A 20,811-nucleotide genomic window follows, 5' to 3' on the forward strand; every position below is an offset into this window, starting at 1 on the left:
TGAGCTCAAGTGATCCACCCACCTCGGCCTCCCAAAGTGCTGGGATTACAGATGTGAGCCACGGTGCCCAGCCCATTCCTGTTGTTCTTTGTATTTTCTTTCCACCCTGACCTTCTTCCTGGAATCACCTCTTCCTAAAGTACATCCTATAGCATTTCCTCTATTGAGAATCAGAGAGTGAGAATTTTCTCCTTTTCTTTTCCCTGATAGTGACTTTTTTCATCCTCATAATTAAAAGATAAATTTACTACTTCTTTTTAGCACATTGAAGATATCTTTCCACCATCTTTTTTGTTTCCATTTTTGTGTATCATAAAAAATTGCTGGGAGTCTAACTGGGACTCCATGAATTTAATCTATCTCCCTCAGTCCCCACCCATGGCAGCTTTAAGGATGTTTCTCTTGTCATTGGGATTCTAAAATTTCTGTATAATGTATCTCTTACTTTAAACTCTTGAATCTATGCATTGGTATCATTTTATCAGTTCTAGAAAATTATCCAAACATTTTCATTATTCCTCTACATATTTCTCTGTCCCATTTTATCTTTCCTTCCACACCCATAATGACAGCTTCTCAGGGATAAGATTCCTTTTGTTTTTTTCTTCTCTTTTCTTTTTATGTATTTATCTATTTATCTTTTTTTTAAAACTCCTACTCTGCTCAGCACCAAGGCAGCATGCCGTGCAGATCCATGGGGGTAGGGGAGGAAGGATAGAATTGTCTCTAGTTCACCAGTAATTTGAATATGCAGCCTTTTCATCTCTGGGTTTGACATTTACCCCTTTCACAACCAAAACGTAAGTCCAAGTCTACCGGGGATCAACAAACCCTTGGAGCAAAAGATTCTTTCCTCCTTTTGCCTCCAAGTGTTCCAGCTTTTCTTTTGAATTTGGCTTGGTAATTTCTTATTATGCTGTTAGCTCTTTGATGCTTTTAAGATTTTTTTCTTTTTTAATCCAGTTTTAAAATTTATTTCCTATGGAAAAATGGTCTGAATAACTTGATATGTCAGTTGAACTTCAGTATGGAAGGAGAAGTATAAACCAAAAATAAAATTATAAGGCCCTCCCAACCATCTAAATCGACTTCTTCCTCAGCCAGGGTTCTTTTAAAACTTAACCTCAAAAACTGGTTCAGGCTATGACAGGAAGTGGGGGTCCAACATGCCTCATTATACCTCTCCAGCATTAATATCAACACCGACTTTAAGTCTGAGAAGAAACACGTTAAAACCTGTTCTCTCTGAAGCCTGCTACCTGGAGGCTTGACAAAACTTTGACTTTAAGTCTGAGAAGAAACACATTAAAACCTGTTCTCTCTGAAGCCTGCTACCTGGAGGCATGATAAAACTTTGGTCTCCACAACCTCAACCCGGACATTCCTTTCTTTGATCCCAGGTCTTTAAACAAACTCAACCATTTGTAAACCGGAAAATGTTTACATGTTTCTACATCCTGGAAGCACTATCCCGGCGCCCCCCAATCCCCCACCCCTGCCTCAAGTTGTCCTGCCTTTCTGGACCAAACCAGTGCATTTCTTAATGATGTCTCATGTCTCATGCTTTCCTAAAATGTATAAAACCAACCTGCACCCCAACCACCTTGGGCACATGTTCTCAGGACCTCCTGAGGGCTGTCATGGGCCACAGTCACTCATATTTGACTCAGAATGAATCTCTTTACATGTTTTACAGAGTTTGACTTATTTCATTGACAGAAGTCACATTCAGTTATTTAACTATTCAATTATTCTAACCAAGGAAATTGAAAATAAAGACTTGTTAACCAGATACTGGAGAACTGAGAAGGCAAATGAGAGACACTGAGATATTATAGTTAGTAGCTAAGGAAAGCAACTACCACTCCTAGGCTAAGGAAACAAAAGGAAGAAGAAAGAATTGATAAAAGTTAGAGCGTTGCAGGTGGGGGTTGTGCAAGGCTTGTGGGGAAGGAGAAGAAGAATCCTGCTTAGCTAGTATTAACGTCATAGGAACTCAGAGAGGGAATCCACAGAGCTGAAATTAGACCTCTGAGGAGGGATCACCAGCCTGCCAGTCCTTATATCTGTGCAGGGGCCCAGTGAGGCTAGCTCCAGTTATTTAGAAAAGCTGCAAACAGAAAACAATTCCTGGTCTTAAAACCATCACTGCTACAATTAAAAAAAAAAAAAAACATAGCTGTTGTGTTTACAAGAAGAACAGGGAGCAAGCAAGAAGGAACAAGTCCTTTTTTGCCCCTGAAGCCTTCCAGTATCCCTATATGTCCACTATTAGCAGAGCCCAATAGGGAGTGAGCTGGGATGCAATCTTCAGAGTCTTCCCCCCATGGGCTGAAGATGTAGAGTAGGACATGGAAAGGTGGGATCAAAGCTGAGAGACAACAGCTCAATTACTGACGTAACTGGCCTGATGTTTCTGGAGCCAGAAATCCAGCTAAGTCACTTTGGGCAATATAGTTGTATTAGTCCACTCTCGCACTGCTATGAAGAATTACCTGAAACTGGGTAATTTATTTAAAAAAAAAGAGGCTTAATTGGCTCATGGTTCTGCAGGCTATACAAGAAGCATAGCAGCTTACACTTCTTAGGAGGCCTCAGGAAACTTACAATCATTGTGGAAGGTAAAGGGGAAGCAGCCACATCTTACATGGCCAGAACAGAAAGAAGAAAGGGCAGGGGAGGTACCACACACTTTTAAACTATCATATTTCATTAGAATTTACTAACTATTGTGACACAGTACCCAGCAGAAAATCCACCCTAATGATTCAATCACCTACCACCATGCTCCACCTCAAAAACTGGGAATTACAATTAAAAGTGAGTTTTGGGCAAGGATACAAATTCAAACAATATTATTCCACCCCTGGCCCATGAAAATCTCATGTCCTTCACACATTGCAAAATACAGTCATGCCTTCCCAACAGTCCTCCAAAGTCGTAATGTTCCCGGACCAAACTGAGGGTCAGGCTGCTATTTCTCGTGACCCAATAATGAGATGGAGATGAACTGGGGAGGAAGAGAGTTTTTATATCTGTAACTGGTTACAGAGAGAAGTCCTGGAAATTATCACCAGACCAACTCAAAATTCAAAGTTTTCCAGAGCTTATATACATTCTAAGCTATATGTCTACATGTAACTGTGCATTCATCTAAAGACATAAGTGATTAACTTCTTTTAATCTATAACTAAGCTCTGAGTCCTGAAGACCTTCTTCTGGAGCCTCAGTAAATACTTAATCTAAATGGGTCCAGGTGCTGGGGTGATTATCCTTATCTTGTCTCCTGCTAAATCACAGAGATTTGAGGAGTTCCTTCAGACCCCCAATAAACTTGACTGTGGAGGCCTGGGGGGTTCTTCAGACCCACAATAAAACTTGTTTAATCCTAAATGGGTCCTGTTAAGAATTCCATCATTATTTTGCCATGCTTTAAGGCCCAGAAAAGGCCTAGGTAAAACTCCTGATGGGCTTTCATTACATCCCAGCCTTTGTATAAGGGCACTGGCTTTTAATATTTAACTTAACCACTTAGTACTGAAACAGTTGTTAGTGAGGCCTGGCCTGCCACAGTAACTTATGTCAAAGTTAACATCGATGTTCAAAGTCCAAAGACTCATCTGAGAAAAGGAAAATCCTTCCACCCATAACCCTGTAAAATCAAAAGCAAGTAGTTACTTCCAAGATACAATGGGAGTACAGGCAGGCAGTGGCTAAATACTCACATCCCAAAAGAAAGATCAGCCAAAATTGAAGGTTGCTAGCCCCATACAAGTCCAAAACCCAGCAGAGCAGTCACTACATCTCAAATAATCGTCTTTGACTTCACATCACATATCCAGGGCAAACTGGGGCAAGGGGGTGGGCTCCTAAAGTCTTGGGCAGATCCACCCCTGTGACTTTATAGGATTCAACACCAAAGCCTGCTCTCATGGGCTGGCATTGAGTGCCTACAGCTTTTCCAGGGAAGGGTGAAAGTTGCCAATGGATCTACCATTCTGGAATCTGGAAGATGGTGGCCCTCTTCTCACAGCTCCACTAGGCAGTACCCCAGTGGGGACTCCGTGTGGAGGCTCCAATTGCACATTTCTCCTCTACACTACCCTAATAGTGGTTCTCAGTGAGGGTTCCATCCCTCCAGCAGCTTCTGACTGACCATCCGGGTTTTTCTATACATTCTCTGAAATTTATACAGAGGCTCCTAATTCTCAGCTCTTGCACTATGCACACCCACAGGCTTAACATCAGGTGGAAGCTGCCAAAGCTTATGACTTGCACCCTCTGAAGCAATGGCTTGAGCTGTACCTGGGCACCTTCTAGCCACAACTGGAGTTGGAGCAGCTGGAACGTGGGAAGCAGTGTCCCAAGGTTGCGCAGGGTGGTGAGGACCTGGACCTGGTCCATGAACCATTCCTCCCTCCTAGGCCTTCATCCCCTGATAGGAGGACTGCCACAAATGTCTCTGACATGACTTCAAAGCCTTTTTCTCATTGTTTTGGCTGTGAGCATTTACTTTTTTAATTATGCAAATTTGTGCAGCCTGCTTGAATTTCTCCCCTGAAAATGGGCTTTTCATCTCTACAACATGACCAGTCTGAGAATTTTCCAAACTTGTATGCTCTGCTTCCCTTTTAAATATAATTTCCAATTTCAGGTAATTTATTTGCTCACACACATGAGCATAGGATGTTACAAGCCATCAGGCTACCTCTGGAATACTTTACTGCTTAGAAATTTTTTTCACCAGATACCTTAAATCATTATAGTCAAGTTCAAAGTTCCACAGTTTTCTAGGAAAGGGGCTCAATGCCTCCAAGTTCTTTGCTAATGCATAATAAAAGTTACCTTTGTCCAGTTCCCAATAAGTTTCTCATTTCTATTGAGACCTCCTCAGCCTGGCCTTCACTGTTTATATCACAATTAGCACTTGGTCACAACCATTCCACAAGTCTCTAGGAAGTTCCAAACTTTCCCTTGTCTTCCTATATTCTTCTGAGTCCTCCACAATCTTCCCAACCTCTGCCTATTATCCAGCTCCAAAATCGCTTCTGCATTTTTAGATATCTTTAGAGCAATGCCCCACTCCTCAGTATCAATTATTTTTTTAACACAGAGTCATGCTCTGTCACCCAGGCTGGAGCGCAGTGGCATGATCTTGACTCACTGCAACCTCCGCCTCACAGGCTCAAGAGATTCTCATGCCTCAGCCATCTGAGTATCTGGGATTGCAGGTGTACACTACTATGCACAGCTAATTTTTATATTTTTTGTAGAGACAAGGTTTCACTATGTTGGCCAGGCTGGTCTTGAACTTTCAACCTAAAGTGATACACCAGCCTAGGCCTCCTAAAGTGCTAGGATTACAGGCATGGGCCACCATGCCCCATCAAAATTTTTTATGTTAGAAAATTCTCGTACTGCTATTAAGAAATATCTGAGACTGGGTAATTTTTTAAAGAGGTTTAACTGGCTCACAGTTCTGCAGGCTGTACAGGAAGCATAGTTGTTTCTGCTTCTGAGGAAGCCTTAGGAAACTTACAATCACAATGGAAGGTGAAGAGGAATCAGCCAATAATTACATGGGCAGAGAAAAAGGAAGGCAGGGGGAGGTGCCACACACTTTTAAACTACCAAATCTATTGAGAAGTTACTGACTATTGCAACACAGTACCCAGGTGAAAATCTCCTCTCATGATTCAGTCACCTCACACCAGGCCCCACCTTCAACATTGGATTTACAATTTGACATGAGATTTGTGTAGGGACAAGGCCCAAATTATATCATTCCACCCCTTGACTCCTCTAAATCTCATGTCCTTCTGACATGGCAAAATACAATCATGTCTTCCCAACAGTCCTCCAAAGTCATAACTCATTTCAGCATTAACACCAAAGTTCAATGTCCAAAGTCTCATTTGAAACAATGCAGTCTCTTTCACCTATAAGCCAGTAAAATCAAAATCAAGTTTGTTACTCTCAAGACAGAATGAGATTACAATGATTGGGTAAATACTCATCTTCCAAAATGGAGAAATCAGCCAAAACAAAAACATTAATTGTCCCAACCAAGTCTGAAACCCAACAGTGCAGTTGTTAAACCTTAAAGCTCCAAAATAATCTCCTTCCACTTTATATCACACATCCATGTCATACTTGTGCAAGGGGTGGGCTCCCAATGCCTTGAACAGCTCCAGCCCCATGGTTTTGTGGGGTTCATTCCCCAAGACTGCTTTCCTGGGCTGTCATTGAGTCCCTACAGCTTTTCCTGGGGCAGGGTGCAAGCTGCCAGTGGATCTACCATTCTAGGATCTGAAGGATGGTGGCCTTCCTCCCACAGCTCCACTAGACAGTGCTTCAATTTTACAATTCCCCTCAGCACTGCCTTAGTAGAGGTTCCTTGTGAGGGCTTCACCTTTACAACAAGCTTCTGCCTGGATATCCAGGCTTTTCCATACATCCTCTGAAATTTAGGCAGAGGCTCCCAAACCTCAACTCTTGCACTCTGTGCACCCAGTCATAACATTTTGTGGAAGCTGCCAAGACTTACTTGCACTCTCAGAAGCAGTGGTTTGAGCTGTACCTGGACACCTTTTAGCCATGGCTGAAGCTGGAGCAGCTGGGACACAGGAAGCAGTGTTTGATGCTGCACAGGATGGTAAGGCCCTGGACCTGGCCTATGAAACCATTCTTCCCTTCTAGGCCTCCTTGCCTGTGATAGGAGGGGCTTCCATGAAGGTCTAAGAAACGTCTTCAAGTCCTTTTCCCCATTGTTTTGACTACCGGCATTTTCCATCCTTTTAATTGTGCATATTTCAGCAGCCTCCTTGAATTCCTTCCCTGAAAATCTTTTCTTCTCTACAACATAGCTAAGCTGCAAATTTTCCAAATTTTCCCACAGCTTCCCTTCTAAACATAAGTTCCTTATATAAGGTTTACAAATTAAATTACCTTATAAGGTAACTTACTTGCTTACACGTGAGCATAGGTTGTTATAAGAGGCCAGGTTGTCTCTGGAACACTTTGCTGCTTAGATTTCTTCCACCACATACCTGAAATCATCACTCTCAAGTTCAAAGTTTCACAGTTTCCTAGACAAAGGAACTCCAAGTTATTTGCTAATACATAACAAAAGTTACCTTTGGTCCAGTTCCCAGTAAGTTACTCATTTCTATTTGAGACCTCCTCAGCCAGGCCTTCACTGTCCCTATCACTATTAGCATCTTGGTCCAACCATTTAACAAGTCTCTAGGAAGTTCCACACTCTTCCAATCACTGCCCATTACCCAGTTCCAAAGTCACCTTTACCTTTTCAGGTACTTTTATAGCAATGCCCCACTTCTCAGTACCAATTTTCTATATTAGTTCATACTTGCAATGCTATAAAGAAATACCTGAGGCCAGGATTGGTGGCTCATGTCTGTAATCCCAGCACATTGAGAGGCCAAGGCAGGTGGATCACTTGAGGTCAGGAGTTTGTAACCAGCCTGGCCAACATGGTGAAACCCCATCTCTACTAAAAATACAAAAATTACCCAGGCATGGTGGTGCATGCCTGTAATCCCAGCCTGTAATCTCAGCTGGGGAGGCTGAGGCAGGAGAATTGCTTGAATCTGTGAGGCAGAGTTTGCAGTAAGCTGAGATCACACCACTGCACTCCAGCCTGGGAGACAGAGAGAGACTCCATCTAAAAAAAAAAAGAGAGAAAAGAAAAAAAGAAACAGAAGAAATACCTGAGGCTGGGAAATTTATAAAGAAAAAAGATATTCCATTGATTCATGCTTCTGCAGGCTGTACGTGATGACTAGATGACTTCTGCTTCTGGAGAGGCCACAGGAAACTTACGATTATGGTAAAAGTTGAAGGGGAAATAGGTAAGTCTTACATGGTCAGAGTAGGAGAAAGGGTGAGGAAGGTACCACACACTTTTAAACAACCAGATCTCATGAAAACTTCCTCACTATTGTGAAACAGTATCTATCCAAGGGAAAATCTGTCCCCATTATCCAATCATCTCCCACTAGGCCCCACCTCCAACATTGGGAATTACAATTTGACGTGAGATTTGGGCAGGGACACAGATCCAAACCAAATTAGTTGTATTATATGATAATTCTCCATAATTGCCATTGAAGTATATAGAATATGTAGTTTTATGACTGTATTTGCATTTGAACATGATAAAATTTTACTCACAGCTTTAAACTTTTGAAAATATTGAATAAGGTAATTGTGAGGAAAAAAGATATTTGGTCAATTCCTTTCTTAAAGAACCAATTTTCATAATTTTTTAATTTCTTAGTTTTCATAATTCCAGTACATCCTGATATCTGTTAATGGAATCATTTCCCACAAGCTTAATATTCCATTATACATTTGATGAAAAACAAATTATCAGCATAAGCAGTATATCCTAAATTTGTAAATTTTTGATAGATGTGAAGAATAGGAGACATGAGACTACATACATGGTTGACTGAATTTTTTTAATTGTGGAAAAAGAGTCACTGTTTCATTCATGTTCCCTGCCATAACAGTGAATAATGTATGATAAGGTTTGGCTGTGTCCACACCTAAATCTTGTCTTCAATTGTAATCCCCATAATCCACACCTGGAGGGAGGTAATTGAATCATGTGGGCAATTTCTCCCATGCTGTTCTCATGACAGTGAGTGAATTCTCATGAGATCTGATGGTTTTATAAGCATCTGGCATTTTCCCTGTTGACACTCATTCTCTCACTGACACCCTGTGAAGAGCTGCCTTCTGCCATGATTGTAAGTTTCCTGAGGCCTCCGCAGCCTCCCCAGAAATAAATGAAAACTCTTTCATTTATAAATTACCTATTCTCAGGTATTTCTTCATAGCAGTATGAGAACAAAATAAGTGACAGACAGATATAGATATGTAATGATATACAGAATTCTATAGCAAATAATCTGAAACTTGTGTGTGTGTTTTTACAGTAACAGCTTTTATAGTTGTGATTTTTTTTCATATTTCTTGTAGGAAGAAGTATAAAAATGGCTCTGGAGATTACCATTCCCTGGTGCCCACATCCTGTATTATGCCCTCTGATATGGTTTGAATCTGTGTCCCTGCACAAATCTCATTCAAATGATAATTCCCAATGTTGGATGTGGGGCCTGGTGGGAGGTGACTGTGTCATGGGGGCAGTTTCTCATGGTTTAACACATTCCCCCTTGGTGCTGTATAGTGATAGTGAGTTCTCATGAGATCTGTTATTCAAAAGTGTGTAGCTTCCCCCCACTCTCTCTCTTGCTCCTGCTCTCACCATGTGAAATGCCTTGCTCCCCTTTGCCTTCTGCAAAGTGACTGTAAGTTTCCTGAGGCATCCCCAGAAGCTAAGAAGATGCCAGAATCATGCTTTCTGTACAGTCTGCAGAACCATGAGCAAATTAAACCTCTTTTCTTTATAAATTACCCAGTCTCAGGTATTTCTTTATAGCAATGCAAAAACAGACTAATACAGAAAATTGGTACCAAGGAATAGGGCATTACAACTGAAATGTGGAAGCAACTTTGAGCCTGGGTAACAGTCAGAGGTTGAAAAAGTGTGGAGGGCTCAGAAATAGGAAGATGGGGGAAAATTTGGGATTTGATATGGTTTGGCTCTGTATCCCCACTTAAATCTCATTTTGATTTGTAATCCCCACATTTCAAGAGAGGACCTGTAATCCCCATGTGTCAAGGGAAGGAGGTGATAGGATCATGGGGGTTGTTTCCCCCATGCTGTTTTCATGATAGTGAGTGAGGTCTCATGAGATCTGATAATTTTATAAGCATATGGGATTTCCTTTGCTTGCACTTCTCCCTCCTGCCACCATGTGAAAAAAATTCTTGTTTCTCCTTCACCTTCTGCCATGATTTGAAGTTTCCTGAGATCTTCCCAGCCACGTAGAACTCTGAGTCAATTAAACCTTTTTCCTCTATACATTACCCAGTCTTGAGTATTTCTTTATAGCAGTGTGAATGGACTAATACAATAAACTGGTATCAGGAGTGGGGCATTGCCATAAAGATACTTGAAAATGTGGAAGCAACTTTGGAACTGGGTATCAGGCAGAGGTTTTGGAAGAGTTTGGAGGGCTCAAAAGAATACAGAAAGATATGGGAAAGTTTGGAACTTCCTAGAGACTTGCTGAATAATTTTGCCCAAAATGCTGATAGTGATGTGGACATTGAAGTCCAGACTGAGGTGGCCTAAAACAGAGATGAAAAACTTATCGGGAACTGGAACAAAAGTCACTCTTGCTATGCTTTAGCAAAGAACTTGGAGGCATTGATCCCCTTCTCTAGGAAACTGTGGAAATTTCAACTTGAGAGAGATAATTTAGCATATCTGGTGGAAGAAATTCTAAGTAGCAATGCATTCAAGAGGTGACAGACTATAAAAGTTTGGAAAATTTGCAGCGTGACCATGTGATGGAAAAGGAAAACCCATTTTATTGGGATAAATTAAAGCCTGCTGCAACAATTTGTATAAATAATGAGGAACTAAATGTTAATAACCAAGACAATGGAGGAAAATGTCTTCAGGGCATGTGAGAGACCTTTGAAACAGCTCCTCCCATCACAGGCCTGGAGGCCTAGAAGGAAAAAATGATGACCTGGGCTAGGTTAACAGTCACCCACTGCTCTGTACAGACTCAGGACTTGGTGCCTTGTGTGCCAGCAGCCAGAGCTAAGGGTCCAAGGTACAGCTTGGGCCATGACTTCAGACGATGCAAGCCTCAAGTCTTGGTGGCATTCACATGATGTTGGACTGCAGGTGCACAGAAGACAAAAATTGAGGTAAGGGAACCTCCACCTAGATTTCAGAGGATGTATGAATACACCTGGATGTCCAGGCAGAAGTCTGCTGCAGGGGTGGTTCCCTCATGGACAACTTCTGCTAGGGGAGTGCAGAAGAGAAATGTGGGCTGGAGCCCTCAAACAGCAGCCCCACAGGGGCACTGCCTAGTGGAGCTGTAAGAAGAGGCCCAGCATCCTCCAGAACCCAGTACTATAGATCCACCAACAGCTTGCACTGTGCATGTGGAAAAGCTCTAGACACTCAACACCAGCCCATGAAAGCAGCCAGGAGAGAGGCTTTACCCTGCAAAGCCACAGGGTCATAGCTGCCCAGGACTGTGGGAGCCCTCCTCTTGTGTCAGCATGACCAGGCTGTGAGACAAGGAGTCAAAGATTATTTAGAAGTTTTGAGATTTAATGACTGCCTTTCTGGGTTTTGAACTTGCTTGGGGCCTGTAGCTCCTATGTTTTGGCCAATTTCTCCCATTTGGCATAAAAGCATTTATCCAATGCCTATAATTCCATTGTATCTTGGAAGTAACTAACTTGATTTTGATTTTGCAGGTTCATAGGTGGAAGGAACTTGCCTTGTCTCAGATAAGACTTTGGAGTTTGACTTCTGAGTTTATGCTGGAATGAGTTAAGACTTTGGGGAACTGTCAGGAAGGCAGGCTTGGCTTTGAAATGTATAAAGAACATGAGATTTGGGAGAGGCCACGGGCAGAATAATACAGTTTTGCTCTTTGGCCCCAATCAAATCTCATCTCAAATTGTAATCCCCATGTGTCAAGGGAGGAATTTGTAATCCCCACTTGTCGAGGGAGGGAGGTAATTGGATCATGGGGGCAGTTCCCCCATCCTGTTCTCATGATAGTGAATGAGTTCTCGTGACATCTGATGGTTTTATAAGCATCTGGTATCTCCCCTGTTGCATTGCTCTCTTCTGCCACCAAGTGAATGTCCTTGCTCCTTGTTAACCTTCCACCATCATTGTAAGTTTCCTGAGGCCTACCCAGCCATGTAGAACTGTGAGTTGATTAGACCTCTTTCCTTTATAAATTACCCAGTCTCAGGTATTTCTTTTTTTCTTTTCTTTTCTTTTCTTTTTTTTTTTTCTTTCTTTTTTTTTTTTTTTTTTTTTTGAGACAGAGTCTCCCTCTGTCACCCAGGCTGGAGTGTAGTGGTGTGATCTTGGCTCACTGCAACCTCCACCCCCCAGTTCAAGTGATTCCCTTGCCTCAGCCTCTCAAGTAGCTGGGATTACAGGCATCCACCACCATTCACAGCTCATTTTTGATTCTTTTTTAAGCAGAGATAGGGTTTCACCATGTTGGCCAAGCTGGTCTTGAACTCCTGACCTCAGGTTATCCACCCACCTCGGCCTCCCAAAGTGCTGGGATTACAGGCATGAGCCACAATGCCCAGCCCAGGTATTTCTTTATGGCAGTGAGAAATGGACTGATACAGGACTTCCTAGAGACTTGTTAAATTATTGTGACCAAAATTCAGGTAGTGATATGAACAATGAAGTCCAGGCTGAGAAGCTCTCAGATCAAAATGAGGAACTTACTGAAAAATGGAGTAAAGTTTACTTTTGCTATGCTTAAGCAAAGAGCCTGCTTTAGGGATCTGTGGAACTTTGAACTTGAGAGTGATGATTTAGGGTTACTGGCAGAAGAAACTTCTAAGGAGCAAAGAACTCAACACGTGGCCTGGCTGCTTCTAGCAACCTATGCTCATATGCATGAGCAAATAAATTACCTAAAACTGGAACTTGTATTTAAAAGGGAAGCAGAGTATAAAAGTTTGAAAAATTTGCAGCCTGGCCATGTAGGAAAGAAGAAAAGCCCATTTTCAGGGGAGAAATTCAAGCAGACTACACAAGTTTACATAACTAAAATGAAGGCAAGTGCTCATAGTCAAGACAATGAGGAAAGGCCTGTAAGGCATTTTAGAGACCTTTGCAGCAGCCCCTCCCATCACAGACCCAGACTCCTAAGAGGACTAAATGATTCTGTGGGCCAGGCCCAGGGCCACACTGCCCTGTGAAGCCTTGGGACGATTGGGATGCTGGTACATTCATCCCAGCTGCTCCAGCTCCAGCTATGGCTAAAACAGGCCCAGGTACAGCTCAGACCACTGCTTCAGAGCATGCAAGCATAATCTTTGGCAGCTTCCATGTGGTGTTAAGCTTGCAGGTAAGCAGAGTGCAAGAGTTGAGACTTAGGAGCTTCTGTGTAAATTTCAGAGGATGTGTGGAGAAGCCCAGATGTCCAGGCAGAAGCCTGCTGAAGGGGTGGAGCTCTCATGGGATGGACTACTGGAAACCACTACTAGGGTAAAGCAGAGGATAAATGTGGGATTGGATTCCCCACACAGAGTGCCCACCAGGGCACTTCATTGTGGAGCTGTGAGAAGAGGACCACTGTCCTCCAGGCCCCAGAATTGTAGATCCACCAGCATCTGACACCCTGTACTTGGAAATGCCACAGGCCCTCAACACCAGCCTGTGAGAGTAGTCTTGTAGGCTGAATGCTGCAAAGCCACAGCCCTGCAGTTGCCCAAGGCTTTGGGATCCCCTGGATGTATGATATGGAGATATGGAGTTAAAGGATATTATTTTGGAACATTAAGATGTAATGACTGCCCTGCTGGGTTTCAGATTTTCATGGGGCCTGTAGCCCCTTTCTTTTGGCAGATTTCTTCCATGGGGGACAGGAGTATTTACCTAATGCCTATTCCCCCATTGTATCTTGGAAGTAACTAACGTTTTTTATTTTGCAGGGTCATAGGCAGAAGGGACTAGCCTTGTCTCAGATGAGCCTTTGGACTTTGAAGTTAATGCTAGAGTGAGTTAAGACTTTGGGGGACTGTGGGGAAGTCAGGATTGTATTTTGCAATGTGAGAAGGACATGAGATTTGAAGGGGCCAGGGATGGAATGATATGGTTTGGATCTGTGTTCTCTTCTAAATCTCATATTGAATTGTAATTTCTAATGTTGGAGGCCTAGTGGAAGATTATTGGATCATGGGGGTGGTTTCTCATGGTTTAACACCATCTCTCTTGGTGCTATCATTGTGACAATGAGTTCTCATGAGATCTGGTTGTTTAAAAGTGTGTAACACCTCCCCAGTCTCTCTCCTGCTCCTGCTTCCACTATGTGAAGATGCCTTGCTTCCCCCTTGGCTTCTGCCATTATTGTAAGTTTCCTCAGGCCTCCCCAGAATTTAGGCAGATGGAAGAATCTTGGTTCCTGTATGTCCTGAGGAACTGTGAACTGGTATCAATTGAACCTCTTTTCTTTATAAATTATTTAGTCTCATATACTTCTGTGTAGCAATGTAGGAGTGGACTTATAAAGCCTTCAATTAAATGTAAGTAGAATCTGTGAATATAACAGGACATTACTCATGTTATTATGTCACTTTATATGTCAAAAGAATTTTTCATATGAAATTAATCAGTTGAGTTTAAGTTAATAACAAGGGAGATTATCTTGGATGTGCCTGAAATAATTAAGTGAGTCCTTAATATAGATCGAAAGCAGCAGCAGACACTCTCCTGCTGGCATTGAGGCAGCACCCTATCATGTTGTAGAGTGGGCATGTGGCCAGGAACAGATATCATCCTCTAGACAGCTGAAGGCCTTGGTCCTACAACAGCAAATAACTAAGTTCTGCCAACAACCTAAGGGAGCTTGGAACTGAACATTTCCCTAATTAAACCTTTAAATAAGGATACAGCTGACCAAAATCTTGATTTCACCTGGTGAGACCCTGAACAGATGACCTAACTGAACCATTTCCAGACTCTAGACCCACCCAAACTGAAGTCTGAGTTTATAAACATGAGATAATAAATTTGCATTGCTTTAAGTTCCTAAGTTAGTGATAATTTATCACACAGCAGGAGAAAACCAGTACAGTCTTCTTTTGTTTTACCTATGAAACCTCACTTAGAACCTTACGAAAGTATTAAGTTTTAGTTAAAACTCAAACAAGTACATTTCTCCTTTCATTCACAACAGAGTACTTATTATAACCAGATTGTCCTTCCTACCATCGCTGCCTACAAAACTAGTCAGGTACCTAGCAGACGATTGTTTTCAAATGTTGGACAGCAAGTGGTGCAGAACTATGATGCCTGAAAAGAGGGAAATACTCGAGGAGAGCCTCGCAATGGCTCTCATTTTCTTCCCGGAGGCTCTTTCCAGACTGCTGTGCAGAGAGGAGGAACCCAGGCAGAGTACAGTGAACTTGCAGAACTGGTAAATCAGATATCAAAGTCCAGGACTGCTGGGCAGAAATACCAGTGAGAAAACTGCCATGCATGCATAAATATGTATTCAGGTCTCCTTAAAGCTTAAACCAAATCATAGATTGCAGAAGTGCAGGGTGGGATTTTTATCAAAAACAAATTATAAGCATAGTCAAAATATTCTATAGTTGCTAATTTTTGACAGTTATGAAGCTTAGGAGATATACGAGTCTGTACATGTATTACTAATTGAAGTTTTCAAATTGTGGGAAAAGAGTCACAATTTCATTCATGTTCCCTGTCATAGTGAATAATATAGCTATCAAGTAGTAGACAGATATAGATATCTGTCTATATCTATAAAATAGAGATACCTGTCTATATCTATAAACTTTATAGCAAATAATCTGAAACTTTTGTGTATGAGTATTTCTACAATAACAGCCCTGGAAGATTTGAAATTCTATGAATCTCAGTGCTAAAAAACAGGGAAGTTCCAATGAGCCACAGTGAAGAGACCTCACTCAACAGCCCAATCACGTGATGTCTGTCTGTTCTGATGTTGATGATACTGTTGAACTGGTTTACATTCATTAAGTCCATTTATTGGTAGTTATTATTTTCCCTCTTACAATTACTGAGTGAAGAGATATTTTGAAATTATGAAATATCATCAAATTTGTATCCACTACATTTAGCATCCATGAATGATTCTTGCAAAGTTAGCTATTAGGATGATGGTTGCAAAATGGTGATTTTTCTAAACCCATTATTCCTTCAATATTTATTAGATTAGCATTCAGCTGTAAGGAAGAGCTTCCCTTATCCCTCATCTATCTGTCTGTCAATTCATCTATTTACCTATCTATTTCATATCAGTAGCAAACCATGGATATTAAATTCACTGAATGAGGTATAATATATTACTATCTTTTTTTCCTTTCAATAGGTTTATGGAGGAACAGGTGTTGTTTGGTTACATCAATAGATTCTTTAGTGGTGATTTCTGAGATTTTGGTGCACCCATCACCCTAGCGATGTACACTGTACCCAATGTGTGAGCTTTTATTCCTCACACCCTTCCCAACCATTCCCTTGAGTCCCCAAATTTCATTGTATCATTCTTATGCCTTTGTGTCTTTATAACTGAGCTCCCACTTATGAGTGAGAACGTACAATATTTGGTTTTCCATCCCTGAGTTACTTCACTTAGAATAGTGGTCTCCAATTCCATCCAGGTTGCTGCAAATGTCATTATTTTGTTCCTTGTTATGGCTGAGTAGTATTCCATGGTGTGTATATATATATATATATATCACATTTTCTTTATACACTTGTCAGTTGATGGACATTTGGGCTGGTTCCATATTCTTGCAATTGTGAATTTTGCTGCTATAAACATGCATGTGCAAGTATCTTTTTTGTATAATGACTTTTTTTCCTCGGGGTACATACCCAGGAGAGGGATTGATTGCTGGATCAAACGTTAGATCTACTGTTAGTTCTTTAAGGAATCTCCACACTGTTTTCCATAGTGGTTGTACTAGTTTATATTCCCACCAACAGTGTAAAAGTGTTCCCTTTTTGACTGGGCGTGGTGGCTCACACCTGTAATCCCAGCACTTTGGGAGGTTGAGGAGGGCGGATCACAAGGTCAAGAGATCGAGACCATCCTGGCCAACATGGTGAAACCCTGTCTCTACTAAAAATACAAAAATTAGCTGGGCATGTGCCTGTAGTCCCAGCTACTCGCAAGGCTGAGACAAGAGAATCACTTGAACCCGGGAGGTGGAGGTGGCAGTGAGCTGAGATCACACCACTGCACTCCAGCCTGGTGACACAGTGAGACTCCATCTCAAAAAAAAAAAAAAAGTGTTCCTTTTCACCACATCTATCACATCCATGCCAACATCTATTATTTATTTATTTATTTATTTATTTATTTATTTATTTATTTATTTATTTTGAGATGGTGTCTTGTTCTGTCTCCCAGGCTGGAGTGCAGTGGTGCAATCTCAGCTCACTGCAACCTCTGCCTCCCAGGTTCAAGCGTTTCTCCTGCCTCAGCCTCCCAAAGAGCTGGGATTACAGGCACGTAGTATCATACCCAGCTAATTTTTGTATTTTTAGTAGAGTCGGGGTTTTGCAATGCTGGCCAGGCTGGTCTCGAACTCCTGACCTCAGGCAATCTGCCTGCCTTTGCCTCCAAAGTGCTGGGGTTACAGGAGTGAGCCACCATGCCCGGCCTATTTTTTTTTTATTTTTTGATGATGGCCATCCTTGCAGAAGTGAGGTGGTATCACATTGTGGTTTTCATTTACATTTCCCTGATCATTACTGATATTGAGCATTTTTCCATATGCTTGCTGGCCATTTGTATATCTTCTTTTGAGAATTTTCTATTTGTGTCCTTAGCCCACTTTTTGGTGGGATTGTTTGGTTTATTTCTTGTTAATTCATTTGAGTTCCTTGTAGATTCTGGATATTAGCCCTTTGTGAGATATATAGATTGCAAAGATTTTCTCTCACTTTGTGGGTTGTCTGTTTAATCTGCTAATTGTTTCTTTTGCTGTGCAAAAGCTTTTTTGGTTTAATTAGGTCCCATCTATTAATCTTGGTTTTTGTTGCATTTGCTTTTGGGTTCTTGGTCATGAAGTCTTTGCCTAAGCCAATGTCCAGAAGGGTTTTTCCAACATTATCTTCTAGAATTTTTATGGTTTCATGTCTTGATTTAAGTCCTTGATGCATCTTTAGTTGATTTTTATATAAGGTGAGAGATGAGGATCCAGTTTCATTCTTCTTCATGTGACTTGCCAGTTATCCCAGCACCAGTTGCTGAATAGGGCGTCCTTTCCCCACATTTTGTTTTTGATTGTTTTGTTGACTACCAGTTGACTGTAAGTATTTGGATTCATTTCTGAGTTCTCTATTGTGTTCCGTTGGTCTATATGTCTATTTTTACACCAGTGTCATGTTGTTTTGGTGACTATGGCCTTATAGTATAGTTTGAAGTCAGGTAATGTAATGTCTTCAGATTTCTTCTTTTTGCTTAGTCCTGGTTTGGCTGTGTGGGCTCTTTTTTGATTCCATATACACTTTAGGATATTTTTTCTAGTCTGTGAAAAATGCTGGTGGTGTTTTGATGGAAATTGCATTGAATTTGCAGATTGTTTTTGGCAGAATGGTCATTTTCACAATATTGATTCTACTCATCCATCAGCATGAAATGTGTTTCCATTTGTTTGTGTCATCTATGATTTCTTTCAGCAGTGTTGTCTGGTTTTCCTTGTAGAGGTCTTTCACGTGCTTGGTTGAGTATATTCCTAAGTACCTTTTTTTGCAGCTGTTATAAAATGGATTGAGTTACTGCTTTTATTCTCGGCTTGTTTGCTATTGATGTATAGCAGGGCTACTGATTTGTGTACTTTGATTTTGTATCCTGAAACTTTGCTGAATTCATTTACCAGTTCTAGGAGCTTTTTGGATGAGTCTTTAGGGTTTTGTTGTCAGTAAACATGGACAATTTGACTTCTTTTTTACTGATTTGGATGCCCTTTATTTCTTTCTCTTGTCCTATTGCTCTGGCTAGGACTTCCAGTAATATGTTGCATAGAAGTGGTGAAAGTGGGCATCCTTGTCTTATTCCAGTTCTCAGGGGGAATGCTTTCAATTTTTCCCTGTTTATTATAATGTTGAATATGGGTTTGTCATAGATGGTTTTTATCAGCTTAAAGTATGTCCCTTCTATGCCGATTTTGCTGAGGGTTTAATCAAAAGAAGGCTGGATTTTGTCAAATGCTTTTTCTGCATCTATGGAGATGATCATGTGATTTTTGTACTGTTCATGTGATGTATCATATTTATTGACTTGCAGATGTTAAACCATCCCTGCATCCCTGGTGTGAATCCTACTTGATGATGGTGGATTATCTTTTTGATATGCTGTTGTATTCAGTTAGCTAGTGTTTTGTTAAGGATTTTTGCATCTCTATGTTCATCAGAGATACTGGTCTGTAGTTTTCTTTTCTTTGCTATGTCCTGTCTTGGTTTTGGTATTAGGGTAATAACAGCCTCATAGAATTATTTAGGAAGGATTCCCTCTTTCTCTGTCTTTGGAATAGTGTGAATAAGATTGGTAGCAACCCTTCGAATGTCTGATAAAATTCAGCTGTGAATCTGTCTGGTCCTGGCCTTTTTTTTTTTTTTTTTTTGTAATTTCTTAATCACCATTTCAATTTTACTGCTTGTTATTAGTATGTTCAGAATTGCTATATTTTTCTGGTTCAATCTAGGAGGGTTGTATATTTTTAGGAACTTATCCATCTCCTCTAGGTTTTGTATTTTATGTGTGTAAAGGTGTTCATAGTAGCCTTGAATGATCTTTTGTATTTCTGTGGTATCCGTTGTGATATCTGCTGTTTTGTGTTGGAGTGATCAGATCCAACACAAGGTCCTGGGGGTGACAAAGTCTGGTGGAGTCAAAGGATTCAGAAAAGACAGTTAGATAGAGAAATGTGGGCACCAGGGGGCCATCACAATCATGAAGGTTGCAAAGGCCCCGAGTTCTGGGAGCCCGCGCTATTTATTGGTAATCCAACAAAGAAACAGGTGGTGAGAATGTGGGGGTCAAAAGGGCAGTAGCATGATCTACAGCTGTGACGGTTTAGCATTTATAAGGAACATGTTCTGCTACTTGAGATAATGGGAATACAATCGATCTAGGAGCCTAGGAGGGCTAGAAGCAAGGAGTCAGCAAGTCTAGACACATTCCAGAGGACATTATGTCAGACATGCATGCCTTGCCTCAGTTTTCTCCCCAACACTCAGCTTTTTCCCAACAGTTTTGTTTCTAATTGAACTTATTTTGTTCTTCTCTCTTCTTTTCTTGGTTAATCTTGCTAATGGTCTATCAATTTTATTTATCTTTTCAAATAACCAGATTTTTGCTTTATTTATCTTTTGTATTTTTTTTGTTTCAATTTCATTTAGTTCTGCTCTGATCTTGTTATTTTTCTTCTGCTGGGTTTGGGTTTGGTTTGTTTTTGTTTCTCTAGCTCCATGAGGTGTGACCTTAGATTGTCTATGTGTGCTCTTTCAGACTTTTTGATGTAGGCATTTAATGCTATGAACTTTCCTCTTAGCACTGCCTTTGCTGTATCCCAGAGATTTTGATAGGTTGTGTCACTATTATCATTCAGTTCAAATAATTTTTTAACTTACATCTTTATTTCATTGTTGACGCAATGATCATTCAGAAGCAGGTTATTTAATTTCCATGTTTTTGCATGGTTTTGAGGGTTCCTTTTGGAATGAACTTCCAATTTTCTTCACTGTGGTCTGAAAGAGTACATGCTATAATTTCAATTTTTTTTTAATTTGTTGAGACTTGTTTTGTGGCCTTTCATATGGTCTATCTTGGAGAATATTCCATGTGCTGATGAATAGAATGTATATTCTGCAGTTGTCGGGTAGAATGTTCTGTAAATATCTGTTAAGTTTATTTGTTCTAGGGTATACTTTAAGTCCATTGTTTCTTTGTTGACTTTCTGTCTTGATGACCTGTCTAGTGCTGTCAGTGGAGTATTGAAGTCCCCCACTATTATTATGTTGCCATATATCTTATTTCTTAGATCTAATAGTAATTGTTTTATAAATTTGGGAGCTCCGGTGTTAGGTGCATATATATTTAGGATTGTGATATTTTCCTGTTGGACTAGTCCTTTTATGATTATATAATGTGC

Source organism: Homo sapiens, chromosome 5 (assembly GCF_000001405.40).
Source record: "Homo sapiens chromosome 5, GRCh38.p14 Primary Assembly".
NCBI lineage: Eukaryota > Metazoa > Chordata > Mammalia > Primates > Hominidae > Homo > Homo sapiens.